Source organism: Homo sapiens, chromosome 9 (genome assembly GCF_000001405.40).
Source record: "Homo sapiens chromosome 9, GRCh38.p14 Primary Assembly".
Classification (NCBI taxonomy): Eukaryota; Metazoa; Chordata; class Mammalia; order Primates; family Hominidae; genus Homo; species Homo sapiens.
In genome coordinates, this window is record NC_000009.12 from 133,715,435 (window position 1) to 133,733,733 (window position 18,299).

The following is an 18,299-nucleotide window of genomic DNA, read 5'->3' on the forward strand; positions in this document are numbered from 1 at the left end:
CAGTGAGTCACGGCTGTGTGCTCCTACCCTGCACGCTGCCCCGGCCCCTGGGGCTCTATCTGCTTCTCCCCGGGGCTGCACTTCACTCCAAAGGCTCCCATAGGAGTCGAATTCATTCAAGTAGCCCCTGCTGACGGCTGAGCAGATGCTGAGCGTGCCAGGACAGAGGGGGCTGGACTCCTCGGTGGCCACAGCCCTTCTGTGTCGGGACTCTTCCCTGTCTTTAGGGCCCTCATCCGCTCCCTGCATGGCCCGTGGAAGTCCCTGGGCTCCCCGCTTTGTGCCGCCCACCTCTACTCAAATGCTCTCTACAGCTGCTGGGCCTGGCCTATGCCCTGCACCGCCCCTGTGGCTTCTGGTCCCTAGGCCACCCTGCCGAGTCAGTGCTCCGTCACCATCTCACAGATGCACCTACTCCAGAGGGCACCCATTCCAGTGCCCTTCACTAAAGGCACAGAGGGACTCACCAGGCTTCTGACACGAAGTTTCCCTGGGGGCAACACTGTGTCTTCCTGAACCTCTCTCCCAGCCCTGAAGCGGGGCCAGAGCTCCCCCTACCAGGAAGCAGTGGGGAACACCATGTGATTCTGCTGGAACCCCAATGTGGGGGATTGTCTGTGCCCACCTGGTGCTCCCCTGCTCAGATCACGTATCCGCGGCAGGCCCAGCGCTGACTCGCCCTCCAGGGCCGGGCTAGGCTGCCCCTCCTCCTGGCCGCCCGTCTGTGTCCTCAGGCTGTGGCCACCCAGTCACCCCATGCCTCGTGTCAGAGCACCCACCCACGGGCTGTGATCAGTGACTTGCATTGGGTCTCCCCTGCCAGAAGGAGGGCGCTGGCCCTGAGCGTGCCTGCCTCCACCACCGACGAAGTGCCACTTAATGTAGAATGAATGCCCTCATGAAGGAATGCTGGTGCTCTGGGGTCACCGGTAGCTCCTGGGCTGCCCCACACTCAACTCAGGGACGTCTGGCTCAAAGTCCCGTGGTTATAAACACTGGGGTGCCAAGGTCAGCTGCAGCCCCTCCTGCTTCCCAGAGAGTGCACCTTTGCCAGGGCCCAGGCCAGCAGCCTCAGCCCCACACCCGCCCCCTGGGGCAGAGCCTTCCGGGCTCCCCAGGCCAGCAGCCTCAGCCCCACACCCGCCCCCTGGGGCAGAGCCTTCCAGGCTCCCCAGGCCAGTAGGGTGGGGTGGGGCTGAGCTGCGCTGTGGATGACCCACGTGGGGCATCTGGGAGCTGAGCCCACCTTTTTGCTCCAGCCTCTTCCAGCTAAGTTCTCCTGGGGCTAGCAAGGAGGGCCAGAGTTAGGGGAATCTTGACACAAGAACCTTCCCCCGCTGAGCTGGCCTCCAGGTGCAAGCCGCCAAGAACAGGAGGGAGGCCAGCAGCATGGGGTCCTGGCCAGGGCAGTGCTCTCTGGGAGCGGTGGGGGCTGGGGCTGGAGGCAGAACTGGGACTCACAGCTGTATAAGCCTCTCATCAGGGAAGGTCTCAGCCCTTCCATTCCTGGCTCAGCCTCACAGGGTGCTGGGATGTGGCCCGCTATTCCCATTTTACAGATGAAAACACAGAATTCCAGGGACAAGTCAAGTCTAGGGATGAAGAAGCCCAGGTGGGGAAGCCAGGACCAGCCACCCTTGAGGCAGGAGGAGGCCCTGGCCTCGTGCTTGGGGCAGATGATGGCCCTTGTGAAGCCCAGGCCTCTCGCCCGTAGAGGGGAATAAAGGCCACACCTAGTACCCAGGGCTGCTGGAGCCAAGCAGCGAGAGGGACCGGGGACAGCCCTGGGTCCCCTGTGTGACACAGGCTGGTCTCACGGGGCATCACTACTAACAGTCATCAGACCAAAGGACCCATGGACGCCCACCCCAGCTCCGAGGCTGTCACTCACCAGGGCCGCAGACCGTGGACTTGATTCCTGTCTTCTCCAGCACGGGGACCCTGTTGATGGCGCCTTCAATGTGCTGGGTGAACACCTCCCAGTCCAGGTCAAAGAGGCCGAAGGCAAACTTGTCTGACACCTGCCAAGGCAGGGCAGGGGAACATCTCCGTTGTCCCCAAGAAGGCCATGCATCCCCATGCCAAACCTGCCTTGTGATGGCTGCCAGGCCAGCCTCTGCTGAATCAGATGCATTAGAGGGCTGGTGGTCACCCACACGTCCCAGCCGTTTGTCTCCCCCACCCACCAACCCATCAGCAAGGTCTGTCTGCTCCCCCTCCCCACCCCAGCCCAGGCCTCCACCCACTCCCCTAGATCCCACCATGCCCCTTCCCTACTCACAAGCCTCCTCTGGCCCCCTGCAGCTCACGATGGCCCCAAAGCCCTGTATGGCATGTGCCAGCCTGCCTACCTCTACCACTGGGCCCGCCACCCTGACCTTCCTGCAGCTCTTTGGGAAGAGCAAGCTTGTGTGAGCTCAAGGCCTTCACCCCTCAATGGGGCAGTTCTTCACCCAGACCTGGCACGCTGGTTTGTTGTCGCGGTGCAGGGCTCTGCTTGGATGTCCCCTCCCTGAAAAACCCTGCCCTGACCACCCATCTAAAGGATATCCTTCTGCTCCAGTCTCTCTAGGCTGATCCTTAACCTGCTAATTTTATTCAGTGCGCGATCATCTTCCAGAATTTCATTCCTTGTTCATTTGTTTGTTTGTTTGTTTGTAACAGTCTCACTCTGTCACCCAGGCTGGAGTAAAGTGGTGCGATCTCGGCTCACTGCCACCTCCATCTCCCGGGTTCAAGTGATTCTCCTGCCTCAGCCTCCCAAGTAGCTGGGATTACAGGTGCCCGCCACCACACCTGGCTAATTTTTGTATTTTTAGTAGAGTTGGGATTTCACCATGTTGGCCAGGCTGGCCTCAAATTCCTGACCTCAGGTGGTCCGCCCACCTCAGCCTCCCAAAGTGCTGGGATTACAGGTGTGAGCCACCGTGCCCAGCCATTTGTTTGTTTATTGTATGTCTCTCCACCAAAATATAGGCACCCAGAGTCAGGGACTTTTATCTTAGTTTCCCTCTTTCTCCAGAAATTAAAGCAGTTTTTAGCCCAAAGTAGCCACTCAGTCGTTCCATGTGTGGACTAAATGCATATACACATAGAACAGGGCTGCAGGGCTGCCCTAACCCCAGAAGCTGCCCGGGAAACAGCCCAGGCCAGGGGAAATGCCGCTGCAGCAGCTGGTTGGGAGGGCAGTGTCATTTGCTGAAGGACGTAGGACTTGTGTGCTCTCATGCCCTTCTGAGGTCATCACTCCACACTGCGCAGACCTTCTCTGTGGATGTTTTGAGGCAAAGCCCTCCAGCTGCCCTGGGTCTGTATTTGACTGCCTGCCAGGACCGTCAGGGTAAGAGCAAGATGGCTTTGAGCTTGGTGGGGTCAGGGGACCGGCCACTTCTCAGGTGTGCCTCTGAGGAGCTTCAGGAGGATGGACTTCCTGAAAGAGGCCCTCTCCATGCTGAGATGCAGCCCCAACTCCCTCCCATTATCCCAGGGCCCTGGCATCTTACCTCCTCCCAAAAGATGGGGTTGGCCTCATAGCCACCCACAGACAAGGCATCCCCTTGGAGGCGGAGGTAGACAGAGGCATCATGATCACGGACATTGGGCATGTTCTGGAAGGCAGAGAGAGAGGCCTTGGCATCATCCAGAACTGGGTGGGGACTTGGTTCCCCATGCCCCGTGGTGGGCCAGCACCTCCACCCAGGGTCACGGGCTCGAGATGGTCCTTCTCGTTGTAGGACCCCGAGGACAGAGTGGACACGGGGCCTCAAGTTACACACAGTGAATGGGTCACTGCCATTCAAGCCTCTCCTTCCCCAAATCCCATAAAATAACAGCAAAAGGGGAAGAAGGAAGAAGGAATGGATCGAGGAAGAGAGCAAGGGAGGAAGGGAGGGAAGCAAAACATATAACCGACAAAGATGAGAGAACAGGCAGAGGCAGCAGTAGAGGATGGGAGATTCCAACCAACCCTGGAGGACGCAGAGTGGATGGAGGAGGGGTGAGACTTAGCTGGGGCTGGAGGAGAGGGAGACTGAGCAAGGCAAGCCAGTGTGCCCCTCCTGCCTCCTCTTGAATCTTCAGAGCCACCCCAGGTCCCTCTTCAGGGGGTGATGCGCTTGCTCATGTATGGAAGGATCTTCCTCTGGAGAGGTGGGTCCTGAGAGGCTCCAGAAGTGGGGAGAGTGGACTGCCATCCCCCCACCCCCCCACCCCAGGAGCAGATTGGAGACTCTTCTGTGAGACACTGAGAGGCCCAGGGAAGGCTTGAGATGTTGACACCAGGGTCTCTCTAAAAGCGAAAGGCTTGCCGCCCACCCTTCCTGAGAGGCTCTCCAGTCCTCCCCTCCAAGCCTCCAATCACACTGCTGCTCACTCTCTCCTAAAAACAAAACCACAGGCCAGGCACGGTGGCTCACACCTGTAATCCCAGTGCTTTGGGAGGCCAAGGCAGGCAGATCACGAGGTCAGGAAATCAAGACCATCCTGACTAATATGGTGAAACCTCGTCTCTACTAAAAATACAAAAAATTAGCTGGGCGTGGTGGCGGGCGCCTGTAGTCCCAGCTATTCGGGAGGCTGAGGCAGGAGAATGCGTGAACCCAGAACGTGGTGCTTGCAGTGAGCCGAGATCGTGCCACTGCACTCCAGCCTGGGTGACAGAGCAAGACTCCGTCTCAAAATAAATAAATAAATAAATAAAACAAAACCACAGGCCAGGCACTGTGGCTCACACCTGTAATCCCAGCACTTTGGGAGGCCGACATGGGTGAATCACCTGAGGTCAGGAGTTCAAAATCAGCCTGGCCAACATGGTGAAACCCCATCTCTACTAAAAATACAAAAAATTAACCGGGCGTGGTGGTGGGCAGCTGTAATCCCAGCTACTCAGGAGTCTGAGACAGGAGAATGGCTTGAACCTGGGAGGCGAAGGTTGCAGTGAGCCAAGATTGCACCATTGCACTCCAGCCTGGGCAACAAGAGTGAAACTCTGTCTCATAAATAAATAACCACAAACCACAACAAGAACATCAGGAATACAAGAAGATGGTGTATTAGTGTGTTCTCACGCTGCTAATAAAGACATACCCAAGACTGGGTAATTTATACAGGAAAGAGGTTTAATGGACTCACAGTTCCACATGGCTGGGGAGGCCTCACAATCATGGTGGAAGGCAAATGAGGAGCAAAGGCATGTCTTACATGGCAGCAGGAAAGAGAGAGAGAGCATGTGCAGGGGAACTCCCTTTATAAAACCATCAGATCTCCTGAGACTTATTCCCTACCATGAGAACAGTATGGGGGAAACCACCCCATGATTCAATTATCTCCACCTGGCCCCACCCTTGACACATGGGGATTATTACGATTCAAGGTGAGCTTTGGGTGGGGACACAGCCAAACTGTATCAGAGTGACAGACAGTGCTATGAGAAAGGAATCTAAGATGAAGAAAGAGGTCTTTAAATGAGATATGATAGTCAAAATTTAAAATTCAATGGAAGGGCCAGATAAGGCTGGGGCCATCATCCAGCGATTAGGCTAAAAGAAAAAGACAACAAAACAGAAATCAGGAGTGGAAAAAAAATAAGAATATCAGAAGGTCCGTCTTGAAAGTTCAACATCCATTTTACAGCGGTTCCAGAAAGAGAAGACAGAGAAAAATGGAGTCGAGAAAAATGTCCAAGCAACAGCCCAAGAAGAGTCCTCCGATTGAAAATCACGCATTCATATGGAAGGGCCCAAGAGTGCCCACCAAGCCCTGAGTCTGGACAGAGGCCTGCACCAAGGCCACGCCGTGGGAAACATCACAACACCGGATGGCCAGGAGGGCCATCAACAGGGGACTGCATCGCTGGAGGCTGGAAGACATGGAGCAAACTCTTCAAACGTCTAATGGATGATTTTCAACACAGAATTCTAGATCCTGTCAAGCCATCAATCGAGTGTAAGCAAAGAATAAAAGCTTTTTCAGACATTCATGGACACAAAACATATACTTCTCTCGTACTCCTTTGCAGTAAACAGCCAGAGAACACGCTGTGACAAAAGGAAGAAAATAAACCCAGAAAGAGTGAAAGCCATGGCTCCAGCGGGGAGGCGTGAAGAAGGCCCTGGAGTGACAGCTTAGACCATGCAGCGGTCAGTCCAAAAGGGAGCGGAAGATCTGAAGGCAGCAGGAAGTCCTCCAGGGGAGGGAAATGGGACTTGGGGGCGTTAGGTGGTTTATCTGATGTGTGTGCGTATTCAGAAAATAGTATCAATAGTATCAATATGTTTGACAGATCCCTTGACACAACTGGGGAAAAATAGTGACAGTTATATATACACATGCAAATACCCCCAACAAAACAATAGCAAACTGAATCCAGCAATATATAAGAGAGATGATACACCATGGCCAGACTGGACGTGGTGGCTCATGCCTGTAATCCCAGCACTTTGGGAGGCCAAGGCGGGAGGGTCATTTGAGGTCAGGAGTTCGAGACCAGCCTTGGCAACATGGTGAAACCCCAACTCTACTAAAAATACAAAAATCAGCTGGGTGTCGTGGCACATGCCTGTAATCCCAGCTACTCAGGAGTGGAGGCAGGAGAATTTGCTTGAACCCAGGAAGCGAAGGTTGCAGTAAGCCAAGATCACACCACTGCACTCCAGCCTGGGCAACAGAGTCTCACTCTGTCTCAAAAACACAAAACAAAACAAAACAAAACACCATGGCCAACTGGAATTTATCCTAGGAAGGCAAGTTTGGTATAATGTATGAAAACCAATCAATAGAATACCCCACATCAACAAAGTACAGGACAAAAACCACGTAATCATCCCAGTAGATGCATGAGAAGCATTTGACAGAATCCAACATCTTTAATGATTTTTTTTTTTAAAGCCTCAACAAACACTTAACAAACTTGGAAGAAGGGAACTTCCTCAAAGTGCTGAAGGGTATCTACAAAAACCCACATGGAATGTGATACTTCAAGGAAGAAGGATGGCTGATTTCCCCCCAAGATCAGGAATTAGAGAAAGATATCCATTCTTACCCCTTCTACCCAACATTACATTGGAGGTTTTAGCCAGGGCAGCAATTAGGCAGCAAAAGTAATAAAAGGCACCCAGATTGAAAAAGAAGAAGTAAAAATATTCCTATTTGCAGATAACAAGGTCTTGTATATACAAAATCCTAAGGAAACCACTAAAAAACTACTAGCGCTCTCTCTCTCTCTCTCTCTCTCTCTCTCTCTCTCTTTCTCTCTTTCTTTCTGACAGAGTCCTGCTCTATCGCCCAGGCTAGAGTGCAGTGGTGCCATCTCAACTCACTGCAACCTGCACCTCCTGGGTTCAAGTGATTCTCCTGCCTCAGCCTACCGAGTAGCTGGGACCATGCCTGACTAATTTTTGTGTTTTTAGTAGAGACAGGGTTTCACCATGTTGGCCAGGCTGGTCTTGAACTCCTGACCTCAAGCAATCCACCCACCTCAGCTTCCCAAAGTGCTGGGATTATAGGCATGAGCCACTGGGCTCAGCCAAAAAACTAATATATTTCTATACTCTAGCATTGAATAATCTGAAAAGGAAGTTAAGAAATAATTTCATTTACAATATCATCAAAAATAATAAATATGCTTAGGAACAAATTTGACAAAAGAATTGCAAAACTTGTACTCTAAAAACTAGAAAATACTTTCGAAAGAAATTAAAGAAGACCTAAATAAATAGAAGGACATCTCACGTTCATGAAATGAAAGACTTATTTTTGTTAAGCTGACAACACACCCCAAATTGATCCATAGCTTCAACACAATGCCTGTCAGAATCTCAGCTAGTTTCTTTGAAGAAATTAAATAGCTGACCCTAAAGTTCATACAGAGATGCAAGGGACCAAGAATACCCAAAACAATTTTGAAAAGGAAAAACAAAGTTGGAGGATTCACACTTCTTGATACCAAACTTACTGCAAAGCTACATAATCAAGACAGTGAGGTACTAAGTAAGGATAGACCTACAGATCAATGGATTAGAATTGAGAGTCGAGAAATAAACCTTCTTCTGCCAGGCATGGTGGCTCACGCCTGTAATCCCAGCACTTTGGGAGGCCAAGGCGGGTGGATCACAAGGTCAGGAGATCGAGACCATCCTTGCTAACGTGGTGAAACCCTGTCTCTACTAAAAAATACAAAAAATTAGCCAGGCGTGGTAGCAGGCACCTGTAGTCCCAGCTACTCGGGAGGCTGAGGCAGGAGAATGGCATGAACCCAGGAGGCAGAGCTTGCAGTGAGCAGAGATCACACCACTGCACTCCAGCCTGGGCAAAAGAGCGAGACGCTGTCTCAAAAAAATAAAATAAAATAAATAAACCTTCTTCTTCAGAGTCAATTGATTTTCAGCAAGGGTGCTAAGACAATTCCTTGGGGGAAGCAGACTTTGTAAAAAATGTTGCTGGGCCAACTGGATAGCCACATGCAAAAGAATGCAGTTGGACCCCTACCTCACACCATGCACAAAATTTAACTTGAGATGGATTACAGGCATAAGTATAAGAGCTAAAACTATAAAAGCCTCAGAAGAAAATATTAGAAGTAAATCTTTATAGTCTTGGGTTGGGAAATGTCTTCTTAAATATGACACCAAGAGCACAAATGACAAAAGAGGAAAAAAAGAGATGAATTGGACGTTATTAAAATTTAAAACTTGTGCTACAAACCATACCATAAAAAAGCGAAAAGGCTATGTAAAGACTTCTGGATTCTGGGGGAAAAAAAGAAAGGGAAAAGACAACCACTGAATAGAAGTTTCAATCACTGAATGGAAGAAAATGTTCATAAATCATATATGTAACAAAGGACCTGTATCCAGAATATTTAAGGAACTCCTACAACTCAATAAAAAGATAAGCAACCCTATTTTTAAATGGGCAAAGTGTCTGAGTAACCATTTCTCCAAAGAAGATACACAAATAGTCAGTAAGCACATGAAGAGATGCCCCACATCATGTCATCAGGGAGATGCAAATCAAACCCACGGTGAGACACCACCTCACACCTTCTAGGATGACCGGCATAAAAAAAGACAAAAAATAACAAGACTTGGTGAGGATGGAGGGGAGCTGGAACCCCTCCGTATACCTCACTGGTGGGAATGTAAAATGGTGCAGCTTCTTTGGAAAATAGTCCGACAGTTCGTTGAAATGTTAAATAGAGTTACCATATGACTCAGTAATTCCACTCCAGTGTATAGACTGAGTATTCCTTATCTGAAATGCTTGGGACCAGCAGTGTTTCACATTTTTAATTTTTTTTTTGATTTTGGATGTTTGCATTATACTTACCTGTTGAGCATCCCCAAACCAAAAATCAAAATCCAGAATACTCCAGTGAGCATTTCATTTGAGCATCATGTTAGTGCTCAAAAAGTGTTGGATTTTGGAGCATTTTGGATTTTCGGATTTGGGGTGCTCAACTTGTTTAAACTCAAGAGAAATAACAACATAGGTCCCCACAAAAACATGCATATGGATGTTCACAGCAGCACTATTCAAAATAACCAGAAATGAGAAACACCAAATGTCCACCAGTGGGTGAACGGATAAAGTGCATTGTATCCATACAATGGAGTATTATTCAGCTGCAAAAAAGAATGAAATACTGATACATGTACTACACGGACAAAACCGTAAAAAGAAGCCAGACATCATGTGATTCCATTTATACTAAACGTCCAGAATAGGAAACTCCATCGAGGCAGAAATCAGATTTGGGATTGCCTAAGTCTGGGGACAGGGTGGGAAATGGGGAGTGATTGATAACGGGTATGGGTTTTGGGGCATGAAGATAATGTTACACACACACACATAACAGTTACAAAAGAAACTGAGCAGCTGGGACAAAAACTGTTAATAACTCCAAGAAACACAAAAAGTTGGACACTACTTGCTCAGGTATTAACAATGTTTACATAATCAGCTAAGCATGGTGGCTCACGCCTGTAATCCTAGCACTTTGGAAGTCCGAGATGGGTGGATTGCCTGAGCTCAGGAGTTCGAGACCAGCCTTGGCAACATGGTGAAACTCCGTCTCTACTAAAATACAAAAAAAAATCAGCCGGGTGTGGTGACGGGCACATTTAATCCCAGCTACATGGGAGGCTGAGGCACGAGAATTGCTTGAACCCGGGAGGCGGAGGTTGCAGTGAGCTGACACTGTGCCACTGTACTCCAGTGTGGGCAACAAAGTGAAACTCTGTCTCAAAAAAAACAAAACAAAACAAACAAACAAAAAAGCAGTGTTTACATCATCATAATATTGCAGAGAGGAACCACTGATTTAACCAATAAACAAGCCAAACCAAACAAGACCGTTTAGAAAGCAAGCAGGCATGGCGTGTGGACTCCTCTGTACCCGAGGAACAGCCTTCTCTCAATCCCTCTGTCACCTGCCCCAGAACTGGAGATGAGCACAGGGAGATACGACCCCTGTCCTGTCTCTGGGAGCAGGAAAGGGGATGTGCAGAGACCAGAAGGGACATTCTGGCAGATGCTTCCTCCCTCTCCGCCAGGATCCCAGGAGTCCTGTTCATTGGAATGAGAATATCTGCACCAGGGGATCGTTGTCAGGTGGCACATAGAAGTTCCTAGTAACTGAGCACTGTTTAAAAATAATCACAGCCGGGCAAGGTGGCTCACACCTGTAATCCCAGGACTTTAGGAGTCTGAGGCAGGAGGATCGCTTGAGCAGTTTGAGACCAGCCTGGGCAGCATAGCAAAACCCCATCTCTATAAAAATACAAAAATTAGCCAGGAGTGGTGGCACATGCCTGTAGTCCCAGCTACTCGGGAGGTGGAGGTGGGAGGATCGCTTGAGCCCAGGAGGTCAAGGCTGCAGTGAGCTATGATCATGCCACTGCACTCCAGCCTGGGAAACAGAGTGAGACCCTGTCTCAAATAATAATAATAATAATAATAATAATAGTAGTAGTAGTAGTAGTAGTTATATCCTTACCTCTGCTAGCACTACTACTCTAAAAACAAAGCCAGCCCCAGAGTTCCATAGAGCAGGACAGTGGGGACACCTGGTGGCCAGGGAAGCCCCTGATGTTTGTCCCAGCAGGATCCATGTCTGGACTTACCTGCCCCTTGCACAGATCCTGCTGCCTCTGAGCACCCAGCGGAGTGCCCAGTTCAGCATCAGCGTCCAGTGGAGCCCTGGCCTTTCTCTCCAGGCAGCAGCCTCCTGCTCTGGCTGTCCCCAGTCTGGCCCTGGTGCCACTGACTCCCTGCCTCCTGACCTCAGCCCATGCCTTCCATCTGCCTCTTTCTTCCATCTGATCCCTGCCTGATTGCTCCTGCCCTCCGTGTTCTCTTCCTCCGAAGCGCCAGCTGGTGACGACTTCACAACCCTCTGTCCTTGTCCTTGTCATCACACAGCTACCACCTCATGAGCACCTGCTGTATGCCGGGCACCACTCCCAGCTGCATCACTCTGTCCTTCCTGCAGCACAGCCTGAGGCAGTAGGGATGGTTATGACCCATTTTGCAGGAAAGGGAACCAGAGCGGTGACAGACTTGGCCAGCCTGGGTAATGGAGGAGTCAGTGTTTAAACCCAGCACCCAGGCTCTTACCCACAGCTCTGCCCACGGATGGAGCAGCCGCTCCTTGCCACTGCAAAAGTACGCCAGAGCACGACTGTGAAACCCCCTAACAGCGCCCGAGCCACCTGCTTTAATGATAGCTCAGAGAGGGAAGAGATGAGCCCTAGCCACAAAGGAAGCTGTGGGCAGAGCTCTCTAGGACCCAGGCCTGGGACAGATCCTCAGAAAAGGGAGGTCCTTGGGGCCACACAGCCCTCCAGCCACCCAAGAAGAAAGATGAACCACACGTGAGACCTGAGCCCTCACCTGCCAGCTGGAGCCCCCAGGCCCCAATGTGTGTGGCTGTGTCTGATCAGGGTAGACAGCGTCCTGCTGCACGAGGCTGCCACGCCCAGGGAGCTTCCTGAGCAGACAGAAATGGGCTGCACAGGTGCCATGCGCCCAGGAGAGGGCCCCCTGGCTTGTTCTGTGGCCCATCCAAGGGTCAGACCACAGCAGGTGGGCAGGTCAGGGCCAGCGGCCTGGCTCCTTCCTCAGATTCACACCAACTGCCTAGCTGCAGCCTCTGGAAGGGACAACTTCCAGACACCTGCACATGGCCAGGTGTCAGAGGAACATGAGGGGCTTTGTGCGAAGCCCCAGATCTCCACTTTTCTCCTACCAGGTCTCAGAGCTGCTGGGGCTGATGGCCCTTTTCCTGTGCTCCGGTACCAGAGGCACGCTGGGATCTGGACTGGCTTTGTAAGTAACACCCCCTAGCTTCGCTTGAATCTTGACATACACAGGAGGGGGCAGCTGCAGGGACCTAGGCCAACTCTGCCTTGCTTCTTCCCTGGAAAGGCACCTCAAAGGCAGGCCTTGGGAGGAATTAGGGATGGAGGATGGAGCCACAGTCCTGGGCTCGGTGGACATTCTGTGGCCACCCTCCCTGACGCCCCAGGACACAGCTCTGCCCGCCCTCCCAGAACCCACTGAGACCTGAGCGTGACCCCTGGCGGCCACCTAGGGGAGGAGGCTCTCCCCAGGGACCCGGAGCCAGGGAGGAGGCCTCAGCACTCAGCTCCGACACCCACCGTGTGACTACTCTTAGTCCCTAACCCGGCACATGGCACCAGCCACCTGCAGTGAGAGGCTCATTCTATGAACAAGAGGTCTTGTGTCCAGTGGGGCGTGGCTTGCCCAGCGCACAGGAGTCAGAGGCAGCAGCGCACTGGGACCCAGGTTCCGGCCCCATTTCGCCACCCGCTTCACTACCCTGGTCTACGAAGCAGCCAAGCCTGGTACCTCCCCGGTGACCATAGGGAAGCCAGGCTGGCACAGGGTGGCAATGGGCAGCCCCCAGGGACGAGGCTCCCAGCTCAGGGGCCCAGGCTTCCCTCTCACTGGCCCTGACCCTAAACAAGGGCAGTCTGTTCTCACACTGACCCTGCCCCACAGCCTCTGGCCCTGGCTCTCTGAACGGCCATGCTCTGTGCACGCTCCTTGTCCACCATGCCACCCTCAAGAGCCTCACCTAGATGCAGCTGCCTCCTCCAGGGAGCCTCCCCTGGTCCACTAGGGCTGGGAATTCCTATAGCCCCTGAGACCCCATCAGAGCCCTTATCAGCATGTTCTGGAATTGCACATGTACTTGTCTGTACCTCCCCCCAGCTCTACCCAGCAAGAACTAGGTGTCTGTCTGTGTTATGGCCACAGCTTCTAGAATAGGGCCTGAAACACCAAGCTCACCCATCAATGTCTGATGCAGAGAGGGTTCAATGGAATGTGAATGGTTGGATTAATATGTGGGTGGATGCTGAAGGAAGGGCAGAGGGAGAGATGAGTGGCTAGAGGGAGGGAGGGAGGGATTGATGGGTAGAAGTTTAGGTGGGTGGGTGGATGGAAGGATATATGAAAGAAGGGATGGACAGATGAACATGTGGATAAATAGATGAATAGATAGATGGAGAGATGGAGGACGGAAGAATGGATGGCGAGATGGCAAGATGAATAGAGGGAGGGAAAGAGTGGAGGGAGGAATGGATGAAGGGAAGGGGGATGGGTGGAGGGATGAAGGAATAAATGGGAGAAGGCATGGATAGATACGGGAGTAGATGGATGGAGAGACGGATGGAGAGATGGAGGGCTGGACAGAGAGAGGAATGAGTAAGGGAGGGTTGCATGATGAACGGATGGAAAGAGGGGGGTCAGTAACAAAGTGGCAGGAAGCTCCCAGCCACCATCCCTGGAGGGAGGAGTTGAGGACAGGAGAGAAGAGAGGGCAGGAGGCACCCAGCCCCAGGTGCCAGGAGGTGAACCCAGGCCCCCAACCTCCCTTGGCAGAAGGCTCTCAGGGAGGTTATTCATGCCAGGAACCAGCACCCTCTGAGACAGGCACCCCAGGCACACTGAGAGCATGCAAACATTCGGGTCTTCCCCGAAACTCCTGGGCACAGAACATGGCAAAAAGCTAGGCTGCCTGCACCACGCAGGACAGGCTGGACTGTGTTCTGGGCATCAAAGAGAGGCCAGGTCCTGAGGAACAAGGGGGTCAGCCCCAACAGGGATACGCCTGTGCTACCTAGTTTAATCCTCATACCACCCGGAAATACCCCATGTTACAATCCCCATTTCACAGATGAGGTGACTGAGGCTTGGGGCAGTGAGGGGACCCACAAGGGTCACACCACCTGGGTTCAAGCTGGGATTCAGAGCCAGGTCTCTGTGCCCCCCACAGACTGACACAGAACCCGGGGCTGTCCACCTACCTGAATCCCCTCGATGCGCTCGGTGACGACATAGGCATGGTGCATGGCCACCAGCGGGACCTTGACTCCAGCCATCCGGCCCACAGCACTTGCCCACACTCCTGCGGGCAGAGCACAGACAGCTCAGCTCTGCTGACACCTGGTGGGAGCTGCCTCTCAGGTGTGCACAGGCTGCCTCTGCAGACCTGTCTGCCCTAGCAGGGGCTCCCCACCCCAGAAAGAAGCCCTGCAGAGGTGGGAGCAGGTTTAGGGAGCAGCCAGCATGGCCACACAGGAGTCAGGAGAAATGCCACTCGCACCTGCACAGTTGACCACGCAGGGTGTCTGGATGGAACCATGCTGAGTCTCCACACCCGCGACCCGCCGCACCCCAAAATCATCCGTCCACACACGAATGCCGGTCACTGGGCAGTTCTCAATGACCTGGAATTGAGAGGAACTGCTTCTAAAATCCCACGGGACTCCCCGGGGGTGCTTCCCACCCCACTCCAACCAACCCCTCCTCCCAGAGGGGAGCTGGGGACACTATTTCTGCCAGCAGCAGGTCCCCTGCGACACTGTCAGGGAAACCGGATGACCACAGCGCCAGAAAACTAGACCCACCCATGCCTTGACTTGGAGAACTTGAAAGTTGGGCAAGTTCTTTCACTTGACTTGTGGGGGGAACCCTCTTTTCATAACGTGAAAAAGTAGCTGACTTTTTTTTAAAAAAAAAAAGCAAGATATTTGATTAACAGAAAGATGTTTGCAGTCTACTGCTTGGTAAAAAAAAAAAAATCACAAAATAACAACAGCTTGGTTCTATTTTGCATACATATATATTTTCATAGAAAAATATTTGGAGTAAAACATACTAAAATGTCAATACTAGTTACTGCTGGGTGATCTTGACTTCTTTTTTGCTTATTTGTCTTCTTAAAATTGTTCTACAGGCCGGGGGTGGTGGTTTACGCCTGTAATCCCAGGACTTTGGGAGGCCGAGGCCGGTGGATCACGAGGTCAGGAGATCAAGACCATCCTGGCTAACACAGTGAAACCCTGTCTCTACTAAAAATACAAAAAATTAGACGGGAGTGGTGGCGGGTGCCTGTAGTCCCAGCTACTCAGGAGGCTGAGGCAGGAGAATGGCATGAACCCGGGAGGCAGAGCTTGCAGTGAGCAGTGATCATGCCACTGCACTACAGCCTGGGCGACAGAGCGAGATACTGTCTCAAACAAACAAACAAAAAAATTGTTCTACAATGATGTGCGGAGTTGAGACAAACACAGATACAAATTATAAGAAGGGCTTTTGATACGATTTGCTTGTGCAGCAGAGGAATGGGTGCACCCACGGCACGACCTGATGTCTGTGAACAGAACGAAGGCATAGCCTCCCCTTGGCAGGAGTGGACCAGAAGGCTCAGAGAGGTCCTCACTGGCCCAAAGTCACACAGCAGTCAGAGAATGGCTCTTGTTCTCTTCCCTTCTGCTCTCAGGGTTCTAAGGCAGGAGGAGTGGGCTGGGAACAGGGGACCCAGAGCCAGGCGGCCATCAGTACCTGTGCTCCTCGGGCAGAAGCTGCCCTGGCGAGGGTGGTACAGGTGCCAGCGGGGTCCATGGTACCGTCGTGCGGCACATACAGGGTCCCGTAGAGGTCGTCCACATTCATCAGCGGGTACAGAGTCTTGGTCTCTGCCGGGCTCAGCACATGGGATTCCACACCATACGCCTTGCCCAGCTAGGGGGACCCAGGGGAGGTTAACTGAGTCCGTGGGGAGCAGACCCCTGGGCCACTCCCCTCCCCAACTGGGCATCCACCGCAAACCCCAGCCTCACTTTCTCCCAGAAGCCTTAGCCGGTCCCCACGCCCCCGGAGCCTGTCCCTTGAATCCGCTTCAGCATAAGAGTTAAGGAGCAGGGCACTGAGGCAGGCTCCGGGGCCAGGCCGCCTGTGCCAATCCGACCCTCGCCAGCTGTGTGACCAACCTGGGGCAAAGTCGCTTCAGGCTCACTCAGGTGAAGTGGGGGTGAGAATAGTGTATGTCATTGACAAAGAACTTAGACCAGTGCCTGGCACAAAGTGTCTATTATATAAGATAAATAACCCCACAGGTCTAATACTTTGGGCCTGAGAGGTTTCCCAGTCAGACCAGCTGTCAAGAGAGGCCAAGATCCTGTTTCAGACTGTCAGATAGACCACGCCCCCACATTTGATTGGCCCAAGAACAGCCAATCAGTGTCCTCAGGCGTGGACCACTGGGACAGGGAGAAGCTGGGCCAATCAGATTCTCTGTCTGGGAATTCTGAATGAAGCCTGGCAAAGTCGCTTTCTCCAGGTGGCACAGCCAGCAAGGGGCAGCGCAAGGGCTGGAACCCAGATCTGTCACCTGCCGGGGCTCCTTCCCTGTGGCGTGTCCCCTTCTCTCGCGGCAGAAGGGTGCCCACCGACATGAGCCCCACTCCCGACCCCACAGGAAGCAGACTCATCCACACGAGCCCCCCACCCCAGCCCCCCGCAGGGGATGCGCACACGGACATGAACCCCCAGCGTACCTCCACCCTCACAGGGAGCCCACCCTACCCCCCCACAGGGGGTGCACCCACCAATATGACCCCCCAGGGAGTGCACCCACCCACCCAAGCCCCCCTCCTTGCCCCCCGCAGGGGAGCACACACCGACATGAGCCTCTTGTACTCGTCCAGGCGCTGCCGGTTGGACGCGATGAAGAGGCCCCCATTCTGGATCCAGCCCGTGTGTAGTCCCGTCTCCTCCTCCAGCTCCCGGCTCACCACCCGCCGAGTGTGGGCCAGAAGCTCCACCTCCACGTCACTGGGCCGCAGCTGCCACAGCAGGCCTGCCCGGGAGGGTGGGTGCCATCACTCCCCAGGGAGTGGACTGCACCTCCTTCCCCCAGACGAATATCAGGGGATACCCTGATATTCAACCATGGGTGTCTTTCTCTGCAAGGTCTTTCTCTGCAGGACCTGGGGGGCCTGGAGAGGTTGTTGAGCAGAAAATAACTGGACCAAGATGAATGTGAGGGAGGTCCCGCCCTTGGGCAGCTCAGAGAGTGACATAGCAAAGGCCCCCATTTTTGGAGCACCTACTGTGTGCCAAGCCCCGTGCTAAGCCTGTCATGCCCTATGAGGAGGGCGTGATTCTCTTATAGATCAAGTTCAAGTGGCACCAACAGTTCTGTGGCCAAGATCACAGAGCAGGTGAGTGGAGGGGGCGCCGAGACACCAACCCACTACTGAATGAAGCTTAAATCTGCACTCTCCCCAACAAAGGATGCCCTCCAGCAGCTGAATGTGAGAGGTGGCAGGCCAGGGGTGTGGCTGGCGAAACGTCAGGGAAGAGGCTATGACAGCCCAGCTAGGGGGCCAGTGAGAAGGCAAGAGCAAGAGTTGGAGCAGTGGCTTGTGGGAGCCGGCTCGCATCAGCTCTCAGGAGCCCAGGGATAAACCTCTTCCCAACTCCACAGTCAGTGACCTCACACTGGTGGCTTTTGCTATTGGCCAGGGTGGGAGTGTTCACACCACAGGAACTGGCCAACACTGCAGGTCAGGAGATCCAGTTTGCCAGGACACCCATGGCTGAAATGGTGAAGGCAGAAGGTTGGCTGTCCTGGGACATGCACACCATAGGTGCTTAATATATGCCCCCTGGTTAGTTAGGAGAATGAGAACTGTAGAAGCCTCTGGTGCTCATGGAGGACACAGGTCTGCTTCACCCTCAATGGTCCCCGTCCGTCCTTCTCCACTCCCTGGAATGCCCTCAGTCCTGGTGGCTCTGTCCAGGAAAGGGGCTTCTGCCCTCTGGACAGCTGCCTGGAGTTTCCAGCTCTGGCCCCAGCTTCACTCTCCAGGCCACACAAGCAGCATCTGCTCCCTCCTCCCACCACAGCTCTTCAGCGACTGGGAGGGCAAGCAGTGCCCCCAGCTCCGCCCACCTGCAAACTGGCCATGCACCCTTCCCCAGGGTCT

At 53.0% G+C, this 18,299-nt stretch overlaps 1 protein-coding gene across 12 annotated transcripts in view, besides 3 other annotated features; it reads right to left on the reverse strand.

Annotated features, from left to right (window-relative positions):
* Nucleotides 1-18,299, reverse strand: part of SARDH (sarcosine dehydrogenase) — an 80,538-nt gene that overhangs the window by 56,017 nt on the left and 6,222 nt on the right. For 11 of the 12 annotated variants that reach the window (XR_001746217.2, XR_001746216.2, XR_001746213.2 and 8 more), the window contains exons 3-8: nt 16,989-17,167; nt 15,871-16,050; nt 14,630-14,753; nt 14,331-14,431; nt 3,504-3,608; nt 1,892-2,021 (exon numbers count right to left, since the gene is read on the reverse strand). Coding sequence is in view for 7 of the 12 variants with exons in the window: in XM_017014367.2 (XP_016869856.1) it covers nt 1,892-2,021; nt 3,504-3,608; nt 14,331-14,431; nt 14,630-14,753; nt 15,871-16,050; nt 16,989-17,167 (819 nt within the window). In the remaining 5 variants the exon portion in view is untranslated. Of the gene's footprint in view, nt 1-467; nt 683-1,891; nt 2,022-3,503; nt 3,609-14,330; nt 14,432-14,629; nt 14,754-15,870; nt 16,051-16,988; nt 17,168-18,299 lie in introns of those variants that run through there. The other variant, XM_047422898.1, reaches the window with a different exon arrangement.
* Nucleotides 169-872: an enhancer, noted in NCBI's record as "H3K4me1 hESC enhancer chr9:136580725-136581428 (GRCh37/hg19 assembly coordinates)". NCBI's record gives its function as "activates a minimal SCP1, AML or CMV promoter by ChIP-STARR-seq in naive H9 embryonic stem cells {active_cell/tissue: H9 hESC(naive)}" and the evidence as "EXISTENCE:reporter gene assay evidence [ECO:0000049][PMID:30033119]".
* Nucleotides 873-1,574: an enhancer, noted in NCBI's record as "H3K4me1 hESC enhancer chr9:136581429-136582130 (GRCh37/hg19 assembly coordinates)". NCBI's record gives its function as "activates a minimal SCP1, AML or CMV promoter by ChIP-STARR-seq in primed H9 embryonic stem cells {active_cell/tissue: H9 hESC(primed)}" and the evidence as "EXISTENCE:reporter gene assay evidence [ECO:0000049][PMID:30033119]".
* Nucleotides 12,007-12,517: an enhancer, noted in NCBI's record as "H3K4me1 hESC enhancer chr9:136592563-136593073 (GRCh37/hg19 assembly coordinates)". NCBI's record gives its function as "activates a minimal SCP1, AML or CMV promoter by ChIP-STARR-seq in naive H9 embryonic stem cells {active_cell/tissue: H9 hESC(naive)}" and the evidence as "EXISTENCE:reporter gene assay evidence [ECO:0000049][PMID:30033119]".